Consider the following 18,760-nt stretch of genomic DNA (forward strand, 5'->3'; position numbering starts at 1 on the left):
GGTGTTGATGAGCTGATTAGAAAAGGAAAGAGCACAAGTCATAAATCACCGTGTAGCTCATTAAAATGTAGTATGATAGAGAGCTGAGTTCTCTGTGCAAAAAATTACCAAGATAAGAATCTCAGCTGGGTGTGATGGCTCACGTCTGTAATCCCAGCACTTTGGGAGGCCGAGGTGAGTGGATCACATGAGGTTAGGAGTTTGAGACCAGCCTGGCCAACATGGTGAAACCCCATCTCTACTAAGATACAAAAAATTAGCCGGGCGTGGTGGTGCACCCCTGTAATCCCAGCTAGTCAGGAGGCTGAGGCAGAAGAATCACCTGAACCTGGAAGGCAGAGGTTGCAGTGAGCTGAGATTGTGCCACTGCACTCCAGCCTGGACGACAGAGCGAGACTCTGCGGTAAAAAAAAAAAAAAAAAAAAAAAAAAGAATCTCAGAACACTGAAAATAAAAGATTTCACACCAATACAATGTATCTTTTCAATGTCCCACACACCATTTTTGAAAATTACTAAGTACTTTACCCTCTTGCCAAACATCAAAAATAATATGCTCTTTCAAGATCATCTAGATAGAGGAACAGTTACGCTCTTTCCTTATAGAAAAGAAACCAAGCTGCACTTCTCTTCCTTAGCAGATACAGATAGATGGGTAGAGATAGATGATGGGTGGATGGAAGGATAGAAGGACAAACATACATACCACAAATAATACTTAAGAGTAAAAGCATTTATGCTGTATTGAAAGTCTCTGGTAGACTCTGTAAGTGATCATACAAAGGCTTAATGTGATGATCACCAATGTTTATAGATATCATTTTTCTTCTCAGTAGTTGTTACTTTCTATTAATTGGAAAGGCAGATTTGAGACACATAACTACCCTTCTGTTTTTAATTAATTTTTTTAATGTTAAGATAGAAAGTGAAAACTTCCACTCCTATTCCCCAAAGATGACCAGTGTTAAGTTTCCTCGTATCTCCTTCTAGGCCATTTCTCTTTTCCAAATTACTTGTTGTTACTTATAATAACTAATGTAATATAAAAAATAAAAAATTTTTTAAAACAAAGTTAATTGTCACATACTGTAATTTTGAAAACTAAAACATATCTTCCAAGCTACCTCTATAAATTAAGTAGAATCCTCCCTACCTATAAATGTTCTGTCACAAGCTTTCCAAACTCTGTAAAAACCTAACATTAGTATTATATATTGAGTTTTAAACAACTAGTATGAAGATGGCTTGATTTCTGAAACATCTCATCACCTATCACCAAAGAGAACCAACAGCAGCAGTGGAAAACCCCATTCTCCACCCCCCTACCCCCCACCAAGAAAACAACAACAACAACAACCAAAAAACCCCAGCTATTTAATGGCTGGGGGGGAAAAATTACCTTTTTTGGAACTGAAATAGAAACTGTTTGGATGGTTAAATGAAACCACTCACTAGAGTTTATAGGCCTAGTTTATACTTGACATGTGGAAATGAGTCTTCAGGAAGAAAGAAAATTCCTGAAGATGGATACTGATTATCTCTGTTTCTGAAGATACACTCACCAAAGAAAGGCCCCTCAGGATCATGCACTGGTGTATTCAAAATACACACTGCATCGCCCTCAAGTAAAAAGGACAAGGATAGACTAAGTCTTATCAAATTATGCCCAGCAAAATGAAGAACTTGGAAAATGAGGTTCCGGTAAAAGAAAATCTCCCCTCAAATACTGTACAATCTTTCAAAAATATGAACCACTCACTAAGTGTGCTTCTCATGTTACATAAAACTTTGGAAAACCACATCAAATCCTGTTACCTCTTAATTATACACACTAATGAAGGGATAAAAACATGGAGAACCTAAAATTCACTTCCTGCATATTAAAAACAAATGAACAGATTGTAGAGCTTGGGAGGCAGGGGATAGAGGTGGGGAGGGGTTCCTGCAACAACAAACAGAAATTTTCCTTTCTAATTGTTTACTTAAAGTTAGAATTAAAATAAGCTTTTTATATTTCCTGAACACACATCAAACAAAAATAAAGAGAGCCTGGGTGTCCATCTGAGTGGAAGGGAAACTACACAGAAGACCAGAGGAGAAACTTATATAGCGCTCATCTTTCATTAATTGTGATGAGCCAGAACTGGGGCCTCTGAGCTGATATGAATCCCTATAAGGCAAGAGGGGCCAGGGTAAGAGAAAGGACTAGAATATCACACTCTCTCCCGCAGCTCACTCTTCCACTTGCACATCCCCCAGACACAAAGGTACTATGCTCTTTAGGTCCTGGGCTCCAGCCCAATGTTTTCTACGGCATATTTCAAGGAGAGCTGCAAAGTGTCAGGTTAATGCCAGCAGCAATTCTTGTGAACCAGCAAATGTCTGTCCAGTCTAAGCCCCAGATATGACAGGAAACTGAGTTTGTTTTATTGTCAAGACTGCACCAAAAGTCACTTAATGTTTGTATACTATTTCCGCTCTCCAAATCTAATCAAATAAATACTACCCAATAAATTTAGACCCCACTAAATCTTTATATCTGAATATCATATTTATTCATTCAATAAACACTTATTCCACACCTCCTACATGCCAGACACTGCCAGCTCTCAGTCACAACTGAAAAGATTGATAATAAAACCAGAAAAGGAACCTTATGCCCAGAGTCTTTCAAAGCATTTGGCCACCTTTGATACTCATGGGTCTTTCACAGACTATGCTCTGTCCAAAGCAACACCTTTCCTGCTAACCAGAGCAAGCCATAATCATAAATCTCTACCTTTAAAACTATGTTTATTATACTACATTACACAAAAACTCTCTTCATTAAAAAAAAAAGAGAGAGAGAGACTCTCTAGAAGAATATTTAAGATGCAAACCAGAAAAGAAAAAGTAATGAGTAAGAAGCGATACTATAGTAAGAATCAGCACTGTTTTAAATACACAAAGAATTCCTTTCCTGCCTGAAAGGAGGGTTTCCCTCAGCAGGTACTCTAAGCAGCGAAGATGAGAGGGGGCACTATCCTAGACAGCAAGAATACAATCGTAAATGGACATGGAATATTGACCATTTCCCTGACCTCAAAGATGGAAATATCATGACAACTGTCAATTACCAAGCGCCTATCATGTGTTAGCTGCTACTCTAGGCATTTCACATATATCACCTCTAAAATGAATCCTGCAAGGTAGACGATATTATCACCACTTTACAGACAAGCAAACAGAGGCTGTGAGGTCATCTGTCCAAAGTCACTCAGCTCACAAGGAAAATTCACTAAAATTCTAAGATTTCTGCCTAGCTCCCAAACCTATCCCTCTTTTCATAACTCTACCCTGCTGAACATGCAATATCTCTGTGTCTTTATCTTCAGTCTCCCTAGCTTCCCATGTCACTTCTGTATTTCTGACCTGGCCATACCTCCGTACAACCCTAAGCAAGCCCACCTGCAAAACTACTTAGAGAGGGGAAAAAAGAAGAAAAAAATAAATGTCAAAAATGTTAACAGATGGGAGAAAATAAACAACTATACGGGACACTATCTCAAGCTTCAATAAAGTTGAAGTCAAACAGTATACACAACTGAAATACCCTCCTCTGATTGAAGCTTTCGCTTCAGAGTCTTTGAGAATTATTCAAATTATTTAGAATAAAAAGTAAGAACTCGAGGTAGAATAGAAACTTCAGCATCTACCAAGTCAAGAAGATAACTTGGAAAACAATTCTGACTGACATTCCAATTTAATCACACTTAATGAATTCTGCACTGTCAGTGATTTCTTGGAGCCTTGGTTTCCCTCATTATATACCTACTTCAAATACACATAATGTTGTTTTTGTGAACATTATCATTCACAGACACTTTTTTTTTTTTTGAGTCAGAGTCTCACTCTGTAGCCCAGACTGGTGTGATCTTGGCTCACTGCAACCTCCGCCTCCCGGATTCAAACAATTCTCCTGCCTCAGCCTCCCGAGTAGCTGGGATTACAGGTGCCTGCCACCATGCCTGGCTAATTTTTGTATTTTTAGTAGAAATGGGGTTTCACCATGTTGGCCAGGCTGGTCTCGAACTCCTGACCTTGTGATCCACCTGCCTCAGCCTCCCAAAGTGCTGGGATTACAGGTGTGAGCCACTGTACCCAGTCATAGTCACTTATTTTCTTTTATTTTTATTTTACTTTTTTTTTTTTTTTTGAGACAGAGTCTTGCTCTGTCGCCCAGGCTGGAGTGCAGTGGTGCAATCTTGGCTCACTGCAAGCTCTGCCTCCTAGGTTCACGCCATCCTCCTGCCTCAGCCTCCCAAGTAGCTGGGACTATAAGCGCCCGCCACCACGCCTGGCTAGTTTTTTGTATTTTTAGTAGAGATGGGCTTTCACCATGTTAGCCAGGATGGTCTCGATCTCCTGACCTTGTGATCCGCCCACCTCCGCCTCCTAAAGTGCTGGGATTACAGGCATGAGCCACCACACCCGGCATAGCCACTTATTTTATTTAAATTACTTATGAAAGGAAAATTCCACAAGGGTGAATACATTTTCTTATCTCAACAGAAACTGAAGACATGTCAATGACGACCCTCATTATCTTGAGAAAAGAATGAGAAATGAGTGTTTTGGACACTGTAATAACCACAACTTCCCATGAGGAAGAAAAAGAAAAAAATCTAAGAATAAAGACTAAATATAGGTTTCATTGCTAATCAAAATTGCATGCGTGCAACAAATCCATAATTTCAGTTCATAAAAATAGCTTTAAGTAAAAGTTCACAGATGAAGAAAAAATGTTTAACACAACATGAAATTCATATTCTAAGCCACCTGCTGCAAAGATACTTTCACAAAACTCCTAGCAACTTCTTTGGATCTTGTTTAGAAGACTTTTAGATGCTCCCACTGAATGAAAGGTGTTAGGTTAATAGCGATTTCCTATCTGTCCACGTATCATCAACGTATTTCCTACATTTGGCAACCACCACCAATCCCGATGTTTCACAGGCAAGATACCAAGATCATCACACACATCCAATTCCCCAATCTCCAACCTCCCCATCTCAACACACACCAGCTGGGAAGACAGGTGAACACAATGCTTTCACATCTGTCATAGAGCAAAGCAGCTCATATTTGGCTAGGCTAATCCTTCGGTTCAGTAATGTACTAACTTTGACAGCTTCCAAATATTACTTCACTCAAAAATTCTTTCTGAATGCTTTTTAGAGCTCAATAGCAAACCTAATATATAATATATAGTGATATATTGTTTTGCTTAAACAATTTAGTCTATGGATGAACTAAATAGATTTTTAAAAACAAACACTCACTTCCCTAAACGTAGCATACAAAGAGATCAACTTTATAGGATCCACTTGAAACCCAAGTCTTATGACTCAAAAAATATGTATTATTTAAGAGGCAGAGAACTGGTCAACTATCCTTGCATCTGTGGGCACAAATGAGTATCAATTGTTAACTATGACACCCTGAGGTGGTGAAATTATGTTATGACAGTACATAATTATTACCAGCCTTGCTTAAAAAAAATAAAAAATAAAAATAGGATATCCTCCTAGTCAAGTAATGTAGGTGTAGTGCCCTACATTAACACACAAATGAAAAAGAATATTCCATTAAGTAAAACTGTGAAGAAACATAATTTCACCAAGAATATTTTGATATTAAATATAGATTTGGGCCCACAGGAATGCACACTGTCTTGACTAGCCATGAAATGACTAAAAACACTTTGAAATTTATTAACTATTTAGGTACAAGAGTGGTCATTTAAGCACTATCAAAAACCCCAAACTCCACAGTCCTTTATTTATTTTGTTAGACCCTGTCAGGTCAGAGTCTGACATAATCATGGATGATGCTTTCTTCCTTACGTAAACCATCACAAATCCAGTTTCGCTTCAAGCACTGGTACTGAAAAGCACTCACTCCACTCAATTTTCACCACCCACAAAATGCAGTGCAGATAATTCTCAATAATTTAAATTATAATAGCTCAGGAAAATTTAAAATTAGAAAGTGACAAGGAGGTGGATTCAATTTTTAACTTCATTCCATTTGTCAAATTTGAAATACTTTCAATTATTTATTTTTCCAGTCTTCACAGTAACCATAACACCACCGATGTTAATTGCTTCACCTAACTGCGGTTTTACTGTTGCTTGCATTCTCATTTAATGAACTTCAGTTGGTACTGACAATAATTCTAGATCTAATCTTCTAAACTTTTATTCTCTTAATGAATTAATTCTATTGCATTATGTTCCCCACTATTCCAAGCAGTAGTTCATAAAATAGGGAATTAAAACACATAAAAACTTAAGATTGTGTACTTTAATAACACAGTGGCATCCATAGAACATATAGCTGAGCCTACAGATAGATTTTATTTTATTAATTTTATTTTTTAGAGACAGGATCTCACTCTGTCACCCAGGCTGTGTTGCAGCGATGCAATCACAGCTCACTGCAGCCTCGAACTCCTGGCCTTAAGCAATCCTCCTGCCTCAGTCTCCCAAAGCACTGGGATTACAAGCATAAGCCAACATTCCTGGCCCAGATTTTTTTGTTTGTTTATTTATTGGTCTCACTCTGTCACCCAGTCTGGAGTGCAGTGGTGCAATCATGGTTAACTGCAGCCTCAAACTCCTGGGTTCAAGGGATCCTCCTGCCTTAGCCTCTGGAGTAGCTGGGACTACAGGTATACATCACCATGCCAGGCTAATTTTTTTTTTCTTCTGTAGAGACAGGGATCTCACTCTGCTGCCCAGGTTGGTCTCAAGCTCCTGGCCTCAAGAGATCCTCCCGTCTCAGCCTCCCAAATCACTGTAATTACAGGGGTGAGCCACAGTGCCCACACAGATTTTATTTACAGTTTTTCTTTAAGAGACTTGATGTTTTTTTGTTGTATATTTCATTTTTATGGTCTAAAAGTAAATTAGCAATATTTTTAAAAGGCAAGCAATGAAGTGACTTGTTTGCATGGAAACCACAATATCATAAAATACAATAAGCACAATGTTACCATGACAAGAGAACTTTTTAAAATTCCAACTCCAACAATAAGACTACCTCAAAGTAATCTTCCATCATAATGTTATTATAAATAATCACATGGAAAAATAAAAGTATAATATAAGAATATGCAGGCTGCTCTGCCTACAGAGTAGCCATTCTTTTATTCCTTTACTTTCTTAATAAACTTGCTTTCACTTAAAAAAATTAAAAATAAAAAAATAAAAAAAATAAAAGAGGCCGGGCGCAGTGGCTCATGCCTGTAATCCCAACACTTTGGGAGGCCAAGACAGGCAGATCATCTGAGGTCGGGAGTTCGAGACCAGCCTAACATGGAGAAACCCCGTCTCTACTAAAAATACAAAATTAGCCAGGCGTGGTGGCACATGCCTGTAGTCCCAGCTACTTGGGAGGGTGGGGCAGGAGAATCGCTTGAACCTGGGAGGCAGAGGTTGCAGTGAGCCAAGATCGTGCCATTGCACTCCAGGCTGGGCAACAAGAGCGAGACTCCGTCTCAAAAAAAAAGAAAAAAATACGTAAACATGAGGGGAAAATATTATTCCTTATGACTGGGTAGGGGATCTAGAGGTGATTTATATATTCTGTGGTTGTATATTTGAGGGTGTATAAATGTTCTTGGGATCAAGGACAAACTCTTTTTTTTTCTCTTGAGACAGAGTCTTGTTCTGTCACCCAGGCTGGAGTGCAGTGGTACGATCTCTGCTCAATGCAACCTCTGCCTCCCGGGTTCAAGTGATTCTCCCCCCGAGTAGCTGCGATTACAGGCACACACCACCATGCCCAGCTAATTTTTTTTTTTTTTTTTTGTATTTTTAGTGGAGACAGGGTTTCACCGTGTTGGCCAGGGGGGTCTCGAACTCCTGACCTCAGGTGATCTACCCACCTCGGCCTCTCAAAGTGCTGGGATGACAGGCATGAGCCACCGTGCCTGGCCTAAGGACAAACTCTCTTTTTTTTTTTTTGAGACAGAGTTGCTCTGTTACCGAGGCTGGAGTGCAGCGGCGCAATCTCGGCTTACTGCAACTTCCGCTTCCTGGATTCAAGCAATTCTCCTGCCTCAGCCTCCCGAGTAGCTGGGATTACAGGCATGTGCCACCATGTCCGGCTAATTTTTGTATTTTTAGTAAAGATGGGGTTTCACCATGTTGATCAGGCTGGTCTCGAACTCCTGACCTCGTGATCCGCCCGCCTCGGCCTCCCAAAGTGCTGGGATTACAGGTGTGAGCCACCACGCCTAGCTCCTACGGACAAACTCTTAATTCAGTCTTGAGGATTTGGCCCCAGAAAACCTTAATAGCCCATCCAGTCTCTGATCTCTAGCTACAACATTTTTTGAAACGGAGTCTCGCTCTGTCGCGCAGGCTGGAGTGCAGTGGCGCAATCTCAGCTCACTGCAAACTCCGCCTCCCGGGTTCACGCCATTCTCCCGCCTCAGCCTCTGGAGTAGCTGGGACTACTGGCGCCCGCCACCACGCCCGGCTAATTTTTTGCATTTTTAGTAGAGATGGGGTTTCACCGTGCTAGCCAGGATGGTCTCGATCTTCTGACCTCATGATCCGCCCGCCTCGGCCTCCCAAAGTGCTGGGATTACAGGTGTGAGCCACCGCGCCCAGCCAAGAAGAACCTTATCAACCTGCCTGCCCTGTCTTCTTCTCTCAGCATAATCGCTTCCTCTGAGAAACCTTCCCTGAATGGCCACCCTATTTCTCCAAAAGCACTTGCCATTGTTGGAATTCTATCTTTGTCTGTTCAGGTGATTAATATCTATCTCTCCAAATATCAGAGACCAATCCTGTTATGCTCATCACTGTATTCCCAGAACAGTGTCTGGTGTATCATATGGCTCAACAGAAATGTGTTGAATGAATGAATAAATGGACTGAACTGCATAGCCCACTGTAACAATCATAAAAATGAGAATTTAAGGCCCTTGGAGGAGACTGAGTTAGCCAGGTCCTAGGCGGACTCCTTTCATAGCTGTTTGCTTCATATACATTTAGAAAAACACATGCGTGGCCAGGTGCAGTGGCTCACATCTGTAATCCCAGCACTTTGGGAGGCCGAGGCGGGTGGATCACGAGGTCAGCAGATTGAGACCATCCTGGCTAACATGGTGAAACCTCATCTCTACTAAAAATACAAAAAAAAAAAAAAAAAAAAAAAAAAACAATTAGCCGGGCATGGTAGCAGGTGCCTGTGGTTCCAGCTGCTTGGGAGGCTGAGACAGGAGAATGGCGTGAACCAGGGAGGTAGAGCTTGCAGTGAGCCAAGATCGCGCCACTGCACTCCAGCCTGGGCAACAGAGTGAGACTCTGTCTCAAAAAAAAGAAAAAGAAAAACACATGCATATAATGTATTTTATTCAAATCTTGCCATAATTCAAGAGTATGAATACAGTCTACCACTCCTAAGCCCAAGAGTATCTAAAGCATATACCATTTCTAGAACATCTCACTAAACCAGTACAGTTAAAATAAATCCCAGTTACTTGAACTGCCTTTTAAAATGTTAAGACATAAATCTAAATATAATACAATATAGCTCTATTCAACATAAGTTTTAGAACTTCATCTAAACTGTTTTTGATTAAAATATCTTTAAACTTTCTTAAAGTGAAATGAGCATTATTTCTAGAAGACGGGTTACTATTAAAAACACCAGTTAGTTGGCCGGGCGCAGTGGCTCATGCCTGTAATCCCAGCACTTTGGGAGGCGGAGGCGGGCAGACCACAAGGTCAGGAGTTCAAGACCAGCCTGACCAACATGGAGAAATCCCGTCTCTACTAAAAATACAAAAATTAGCCAGGCATGGTGGCACATGCCGGTAATCCCACTCAGGAGGCTGAGGCAGGAGAATCGCTTGAACCCAGGAGGCAGAGGTTGCAGTGAGCTGAGATCACGCCACTGCACTCCAGTCTGGTGAATAGAGCAAGACTCAGTCTCAAAAAAAAGAGCCCAGTTAGTTGTATCAGTTGTAGGTGGAGTTGGAGAGACAAGTGCAGATGGATGTATAGAACACCTCACAGAACAGGGAATACTGAAACTTTCTTCTACTTTAAAAAGTCCCCTGTTTCAATCTGCTTTCCAGTCCTTTTGATTTTTGCTCACAAACTGGGGGAAAACACCACTCCTTCTGATGCATGGCTATCTTCCTGAAAAATTAATTTGATGAGGTTGTGCAACCAGAGGCTGAAGTGAAGTTACAAAGGTTACACGCTGCCCTCCCCCTCCCCCTCCCCCTCCCCCTCTCCCCACGGTCTCCCTCTGATACCGAGCCGAAGCTGGACTGTACTGCTGCCATCTCGGCTCACTGCAACCTCCCTGCCTGATTCTCCTGCCTCAGCTTGCCGAGTGCCTGCGATTGCAGGCACGCGCCGCCACGCCTGACTGGTTTTCGTATTTTTTTGGTGGAGACGGGGTTTCGCTGTGTTGGCCGGGCTGGTCTCCAGCTCCTAACCGCGAGTGATCCACCAGCCTCGGCCTCCCGAGGTGCCGGGATTGCAGACGGAGTCTGGTTCACTCAGTGCTCAATGTTGCCCAGGCTGGAGTGCAGTGGCGTGATCTCGGCTCGCTACAACCTCCACCTCCCAGCCGCCTGCCTTGGCCTCCCAAAGTGCCGAGATTGCAGCCTCTGCCCGGCCGCCACCCCGTCTGGGAAGTGAGGAGCGTCTCTGCCTGGCCGCCCATCATCTGGGACGTGAGGAGCCCCTCTGCCTGGCTGCCCAGTCTGGAAAGTGAGGAGCGTCTCTGCCCGGCCGCCATCCCATCTAGGAAGTGAGAAACGCCTCTTCCCGGCCGCCATCCCATCTAGGAAGTGAGGAGCGTCTCTGCCCGGCCGCCCATCGTCTGAGATGTGGGGAGCGCCTCTGCCCCGCCGCCCCGTCTGGGATGTGAGGAGCGCCTCTACCCGTCCGCGACCCCGTCTGGGAGGAGAGGAGCGTCTCTGCCCGGCCGCGACCCCGTCTGGGAGGAGAGGAGCGTCTCTGCCCGGCCGCCCCGTCTGAGAAGTGAGGAGCCCCTCCGCCCGGAAGCCGCCCCGTCTGAGAAGTGAGGAGCGTCACCGCCCGGCAGCCACCCCGTCCAGGAAGGAGGTGGGGGTCACCCACCGCCAGGCCAGCCGCCCCGTCCAGGAGGGAGGTGGGGGGGGTCAGCCCCCCGCCCGGCCAGCCGCCCCGTCCGGGAGGGAGGTCGGGGGGTCAGCCCTCTACCCGGCCAGCCGCCCCGTCCGGGAGGGAGGTGGGGGGGTCAGCCCCCTGCCCGGCCAGCCGCCCCGTCCGGGAGGTGAGGGGCGCCTCTGCCCGGCCGCCCCTACTGGGAAGTAAGGAGCCCCTCTGCCCGGCCAGCCGCCCCGTCCGGGAGGGAGGTGGGGGGGTCAGCCCCCCGCCCGGCCAGCAGCCCCTTCCGGGAAGTGGGGGGCGCCTCTGCCCGGCCGCCCCTACTGGGAGGTGAGGAGCCCCTCTGCCCGGCCACCACCCCATCTGGGAGGTGTGCCCGGCAGCTCATTGAGAACGGGCCATGATGACAATGGCGGTTTTGTGGAGTAGAAAGTGGTGAGAGGTGGGGAAAAGAGTGAGAAATCGGATGGTTGCCGTGTTTGTGTAGTAGGAGGTAGACATGGGAGACTTTTCATTTTGTTCTGTACTAAGAAAAATTCTTCTGCCTTGGGATCCTGTTGATCTGTGACCTTACCCCCAACCCTGTGCTCTCTGAAACATGTGCTGTGTCCACTCAAGGTTAAATGGATTAAGGGCGGTGCAAGATGTGCTTTGTTAAACAGATGCTTGAAGGCAGCATGCTCGTTAAGAGTCATCACCACTCCCTAATCTCAAGTACCCAGGGACACAAACACTGCGGAAGGCCGCAGGGTCCTCCGCCTAGGAAAACCAGAGACCTTTGTTCACTTGTTTATCTGCTGACCTTCCCTCCACTATTGTCCCGTGACCCTGCCAAATCCCCCTCTGTGAGAAACACCCAAGAATGATCAAAAATAAATAAATTAAAAAAAAAAACAAAGGTTACACGCTAAAAAAAAAAAAAAAATTAATTTGATGAGATAAAGATCAAAAGTAGCCTTCTTACCCTCAAAAAAACTCTTCACCTTTGCTATAAATATTCTTGCATTCAAAGTACTCATTCAATCAAAAACAGTGTTGTGTGCTTATAATGTGTAAGGCACACAACAGCTGTGATTCCTACACTGCTAGTAGAAGACAGCCCTTAGGAGCCTGAACCTACTCTGAATTCTCACTATATTTCCTCATAAGATATGGTGGAGGAGTATGCCCTACTATTGCCAGATATTGTTTCCTGGGGGCACTTCAGTAAAAGGTTAATTCAAGTCTGTATCTCCCTTATTAGAAGACAGTATTTTTCCTGAAATGGTGCCAAGTCTCAATTTGCTACATGTTCTTTTTAATGTTTTAACATTTTACTTTGAACAGTGTTCCAGGCACAAGCAGCCCTGAATTAATTAAATTAAAATTTAACGTCACTGTGAGACAAAAGTCTTTCATGGTGCCTACATAACGGATGAACTTTTGCCAGATTGCTTCTCTCACAACACTGCATATTCTGAAACAAGATCCAGGTCCACAGGGCTGACTTCAAGAAAGATAAATGGCAAACAGAGAGATGAGGGAACGCATATTTATTAAGCAGCCAACCACTATTCAGACAGTTTACCCACAATGCCTCACTTACTCTTCACAACCACCTTGGGCAGCATGAATCTCGTTTTACCAAAAGGGAGACTGAAGTTCCAAAGACGTTTAAATAACTCACCTCAGTTCATAAAGCTAAGATTATCACCTAGACTTGAACCCAGACCCTTTCCTACAATAAGTGAGTTCCCCAAAGATGGAGGGATGAGTGTTCAAGGACACCACAGCCAGAATGCTACCAGTTTACTGAACTGTTCCTTACTATTCCATGACTGACATGACTGACATGCCTTCACCAGGACACAGCATGAGTTGCACAGGGGCCCAGGGACACGTCTTGTGCCCAGCTCCCCGGCCTGGCCAGCCTTCTTGAGGAGCCCAGAGCCCACGGCCTGCCACACCTCTCCCCATCACCACCCACAGTGCTGCTGCAGGCCTGGCTGCTCCCCTCATTCTTCTCTTCTCTGCTTTGCTTTCTCACCACCTTCAGTCTCCTCGTAATTTTTAGAGTACTTGCAAAAACGTCTTAGTAAATCACCCCAGCACAGTATGACCAAGATTGCGGTTAGCTGTTCTCACCTGCACACATTTATGACTAACGGCCACAACAAGGAAGTTACCAGCTTTAGAGCCAGACCGGCCTAGGGTCCCACCCCTGGCTCTCTCTGCACGAGTGGGCAAGTTACTTTGCCCTCAGTTAAAAGCAAACATCGCTTGTTCTTGGTATTGGGCGTGCAGCTTAAATGAGACGCCATGTGGTACATTGCCTGGCACACCGAAAAACCAACAGACATCTCTTCTTAACTGATTGCTAACCTATTTCTTTACCAGCAGAAACAACCTGACTTTCTCCTCCCAAATTCTCCCAGGTCCACAGCCATTCCAGAAAAATGTTTCTTTACAGGCACACTCAATTTTATCACTGGTATTCCTATTCACCCAGCTTAATTTTTCAAATGATGCAGATCAAAATTTTCCAGCCAACCACACACTACAGTCATGTAGTAACTTCTCCCTTCAAATACCTTTTAAAATTCTATTTGGTATCAAAAAGAATCAAAAATCAGGAAAGACATACAGGAGAAGAAACCTCTAGTCATGAGAGCTCCCTTCTACAGAGAGAGATGACAAATTCTGTCTCCACTCTGAGTGAGAAAACATGCCAACCACCCAAAGCAACTGTTCCTAGCCTTTGGAGAAACTCCTTTGAGAATCTGATGAAAGCTCTACCTTTGTCCGGAAAAGTGTCAGTCTGCACAGAGACACAAAATACTCCCTGGAATTTCAAGAGGGTCAAGGGCCCTCTAAAACTCACCCACTGACCACAAGATAAGAGCCATCAACAAAGAGCCATCTGTGATACTCTTTAAACTGGTAAAATCCTCAATTCAGATTTTGTTTCCTTAAGGTGCAATAAACTTAAAAGCCTATGCAAAGACCTCAAGAAGGTACACTAAGAAAGAAGTTTCTCATTCAGTTCTTCCTGTCTTTTTTTTGAGATGGAGTTTTGCTCTGTACCCAGGATGGAGTGCAGTGGTGCAATCTCAGCTCACTGCAACCTCCGCCGCATGGGTTCAAGAGATTCTCCTGCCTCAGCCTCCCAAGTAGCTGAGATTACAGGCACCTACCACCACACCTGGCTAATTTTTTTTGTATTTTTAGTAGAGATGGGGTTACACCATGTTGGCCAGGCTGGTCTCGAACTCCTGACTTCAAGTGATCTGCCTGCCTCAGCCTCCCAAAGTGCTGGGATTACAGGAGTGAGCCACCATGCCTGGCCCTCTTCATGTCCTTCGCTGGTTCAAAATAAAATGCTGCAAAACTAACATGGCTCAAAACCCAAAGAGAAAGTTCTCTCTTTGAATCTAAATATCAAAACAAAGCTGTGTTCCAGACCAGTGTGTGTGCTGGGGAATGGGCAAGCGAAATGGAGGCACGAAAGTATTAGAACTCTATATCTTATTTTTCAATATCATCCTTTTTAAACATCTCTATGTTTGTATATGTTTTAATGTTGTGTAACAGGACAAATACAAGAGTGCTGAAGTTATATTCTCTGATAGAAGTAAGCAATTACAAAAACATTTGAAGATCCTGTCCTGGGAAACAACTTTCTCTCTTTCTGTCTCTCTGTCTCTCTTTCTCTTTCTCTCTCTCTCTCTCAATCTTTCTCTCTTTCTCTTTTTCTTTTTGAGACAGGGTCTCACTCTGTCACCCAAGCTGGAGTGCAGCAGCATGATCTTGGCTCACTGCTGCAGCCTTGACCTCCCGGAATCAGGTGATTCTCTCACCTTGGCCTGCAGAGTAGCTGGGACGACAGGAGCATGCCTCCACACCTGGCTAATTTTTCTATTTTTTGTAGAGACAGAGTTTTGCCATGCTTCCCAGGCTGGTCTTGAACTCCTGGGCTCAAGCGATCCTCCCACCTCAGCCTCCCAAAGTGCTAGGTAGGATTACAGGTGTGAGCTACTGCGCCCAGCCTAACAACTTCCAAATTAAGTTTACCTAGGCCGGGCACAGTGGCTCACGCCTGTAATCCCAGCACTCTGGGAGGCCAAGGCGGGCGGATCACCTGAGGTTGGCAGCTCAAGACCAGCCTGACCAACACAGTGAAACCCCATTTCTACTAAAAATACAAAATTAGTCAGTTGTGGTGGCACATGCCTGTAATCCCAGCTACTCGGGAGGCTGAGGCAGGAGAATCACTTGAACCCAGGAGGTGGGGGTTGCAGTGAGTCAAGATCAAGCCGTTGCTCTCCAGCCTGGACAACAAGAGGGAAACTCCGTCTCAAAAAAAAAGAAAGTTTATCTAATAATAATTTTACCTGGTAATGCTCCATAAATGGAATTTCCCTTGAAAATAATTACATTAGCCACTTTAAATTCTGATTCCAGAAACAAGAAATCTGTCTCAAACTGACATTAACTAAACAGTAATGCTGAGATTGTTCCATAAGAACTAGTTTCTCCTTTTTGCTTTAAAAGTATAATTCTCACAGCTGTATATACTCCATATTTTTCTTCCTTAAATGCAAAGAATCCATGTAACGTGTTAAAGGAACAAAAATCAACTAAAAGACGTTAGTAAACATTTGCCATTGTGTACTTTTTCCTATAATTATAGTAGTTAATATTCTTCAACTCATACAGTGTATCTAGCACTAGGCTAAATGTTTTACCTGCCTTCTGGAATTTAATCTGACTCTATGATATGGCTTCTATTACTCTCCCAGTTTTAGAGAGAAGAAAACCAAGGCTTAGAAGTCAGCTCCTGGCCAGGTGTGGTGGCTCAATGCCTGTAATCCCAGCACTTTGAGAGGCCAAGGCGGGCGAATCACACGGTCAGGAGTTCAAGACCAGCCTGGCCAACATGGCAAAACCCCATCTATACTAAAAATACAAAAACTTAGCTGGGCGTGGTGGTGGGTGCCTGTAATCTCAGCTACTCAGGAGGCTGAGGCAGAAGAATTGCTTGAACCCGGGAGGTGGAGGTTGCAATGAGCAGAGATCGCGTCACTGCACTCCAGCCCAGGCGACAATGTAAGAAAAAAAAAAAAAAAGTCAAATGGCTTCTAATGGTGGACTCAGAATTCAAACTCAGGTATGTGTGACCCCAGGGCCTACATTCTTACTGAGGGAAACTATGCTTAATTCTACTGTAACATAAAAATAAGATTCCATATAAGTTTTCAAAAAAAAAACCTTCAAATACAAAAGGTAGAAACCATTTTTAAGTATTAAAAGAGGATGTCATCACTTGCAAACAAAAGAACTACTTTAGCCTATTCGAAATATCTAGAAACTTTACTGATCTTTTTCAAGCACTACAAAATCTAATTACTATTATGAGCCAATATTATAAAATGTAAGTTTTACAAATCAGAGAACATTTGCCCATAAAACTCTGCTCTGAAAGTCCATTATAATATTCAGATATGCTATTCTCTCTTAAACTATATAAAGTCTGGTGATCTGATTAGGCTATAATCAGTCCTCAAATACGCAGAACAGAGGGATTTCACTGGACTTAACGTCTTAACTTTTGTGAAATGAAAGTGATGAATTTGCAAAGTAAAAGGAATCACTCTAAGTTTTTCGTCTATAAAATCCACTCCATTCTCTCTATATAATATACCACTTATGTTTTTAACCTGAAACATGCAGAATTACCAAAGCACAAACCCACTCAGGATTTTAATTGAACACTCAGCAATGTGATCCTTTTAAAATAAAAAGTTTTCATTAAACAAGTTTATATTTTGTGTAAATTATAAGTTAAAATAAAATTGGCATTAAAATTTTATTTTTTTAAACTAAAATTGGCCTGGGTTTTGCAAAAAAAAAATAAACTGTTTAAATATTTATGAAGGAAAAATAAATGCCTTTATTACTTATTAGTCAACTAAGTCAACCTAAATGTGAAATAAAAATGTTCGTTCATTTACTAAGAAATATTTATTGAATGCCAATTACGTACAAGGCACTGTTCGAAGCCCTAGAGATAAGAAAAACAAGATTTCTACACAGAAGATCATATTTTAATGGGGGAGGGGAGATATATCAGACAAGTGAACAAACAAAGATAAAATAATTAAAGATTATAAGAAACAACAGAGTAATAGAAACTTCAAACACTTTTTTTTCCAAGAGACAAGGGTCTTGCTGTCACCTAGAGCAAGCAATCCTCCTTCCTGTCTCGGCCTCCCAAGTAGCCAAGACACAGGTGCATGCTACCATTTCCAGCTAATTTTTTAATTTTCTAGTAGGAACAGGGGTCTCACTATGTTGCCCAGGTTGATCTTGAACACCTGGCCTCAGGAGATCCTCCTGCGTCCTCCCAAAGTGCTGGGATTACAGGCATGAGCCACCTTGCCTAGCCAAAGACTATTTTTTTTTCTTTTCTTTTTGAGATAGATCCGCCCACCTCAGCCTCCCAAAGTGCTGGGATTACAGGCGTGAGCCACCGCACCCAGCCCAAAGACTTTTTTTTTTTTTTTTTGAGACAGAGTCTCACTCTGTCGCCCAGGCTGGAGTGCAGTGGCGCAATCTTGGCTCACTGCAAGCACCACCTCCCAGGGTCACGCCATTCTCCTGCCTCAGCCTTCCGAGTAGCTGGGACTACAGGCACCTGCTACCACGCCCGGCTAGTTTTTTTTTGTTGTTTTTTTCTTGTATTTTTAGTAGACACGGGTTTTCACCGTGTTAGCCAGGATGGTCTCGATCTCCTGACCTCATGATCCACCAACCTCAGCCTCCCAAAGTGCTGGGATTACAGGCGTGAGCCACTGTGCCCAGCCGAAAGACTGTTTTCTAAAGTCATCAAGGAAGTCCCCAAGGAGGTCCCACTGGAGCTAAAACTTGAATGATAAGAAGTTGGGGAAGAAAATTCTAGGTAGAAAAGGACCACTTCATCTTATGAGAACATTCATTTGGCACTTCAATATTTATATGCCCTGTCTTGCATATAAATATTGCATATAAATATCCAGGTTACATCCTGGACGGACGCACATTATGATGAATGCTGTTTATGGCTTACAGTGTTTTATGGTAAGGGTAGATGCATATGTGCACACAGAGCAGCTAACACGATACTCAGAAAATAGTAACAACACAATTCCCATTTAGTCTAAGCCAAAAACTCTTAACTATAGAGAGAGAACGTGAATGGAAGGGATGAATCTTTGAGAATCTGATGAAAGCAATCAATTCTCTCCTCCAAAAAAGAATGCACATACACAGAAACTTTACATATAATTTTAGGAGGGTCTAGAAACCCTGAAGCCCATCCAGATATACACTGTCCCAACCAGAAATCCACGAACCCTAAGTTAAGAAATTTTTCCGTTTTTTTTTTTTTTTTTTTTTTTGAGACGGAGTTTTGCTCTTGTTGCCCAGGCTCAAGTGCAATGGTGTGATCTCAGCTCACTGCAACCTCTGCCTCCCGGATTCAAGCGATTCTCCTGCCTCAGCCTCCCGAGTAGCTGGGACTACAGGCGCGTGCCACCATGCCTGGCTAATTTTTGTATTTTTAATAGAGACGAGGTTTCACAA

General features: G+C 43.2%; 1 protein-coding gene across 7 annotated transcripts in view, besides 3 other annotated features; it reads right to left on the minus strand.

Moving 5' to 3' along the window:
• PPP2R5E (protein phosphatase 2 regulatory subunit B'epsilon) overlaps positions 1-18,760 on the minus strand; it is a 172,014-nt gene that overhangs the window by 140,310 nt on the left and 12,944 nt on the right. The gene's annotated exons all lie outside the window — the stretch shown is intronic.
• Positions 1,216-1,505: an enhancer, noted in NCBI's record as "active region_8506". NCBI's record gives its function as "activates an Ori minimal core promoter by ATAC-STARR-seq in GM12878 lymphoblastoid cells {active_cell/tissue: GM12878}" and the evidence as "EXISTENCE:reporter gene assay evidence [ECO:0000049][PMID:35858748]".
• Positions 13,038-13,187: an enhancer, noted in NCBI's record as "active region_8507". NCBI's record gives its function as "activates an Ori minimal core promoter by ATAC-STARR-seq in GM12878 lymphoblastoid cells {active_cell/tissue: GM12878}" and the evidence as "EXISTENCE:reporter gene assay evidence [ECO:0000049][PMID:35858748]".
• Positions 13,248-13,297: an enhancer, noted in NCBI's record as "active region_8508". NCBI's record gives its function as "activates an Ori minimal core promoter by ATAC-STARR-seq in GM12878 lymphoblastoid cells {active_cell/tissue: GM12878}" and the evidence as "EXISTENCE:reporter gene assay evidence [ECO:0000049][PMID:35858748]".

Source organism: Homo sapiens, chromosome 14 (assembly GCF_000001405.40).
Source record: "Homo sapiens chromosome 14, GRCh38.p14 Primary Assembly".
Lineage (NCBI taxonomy): Eukaryota > Metazoa > Chordata > Mammalia > Primates > Hominidae > Homo > Homo sapiens.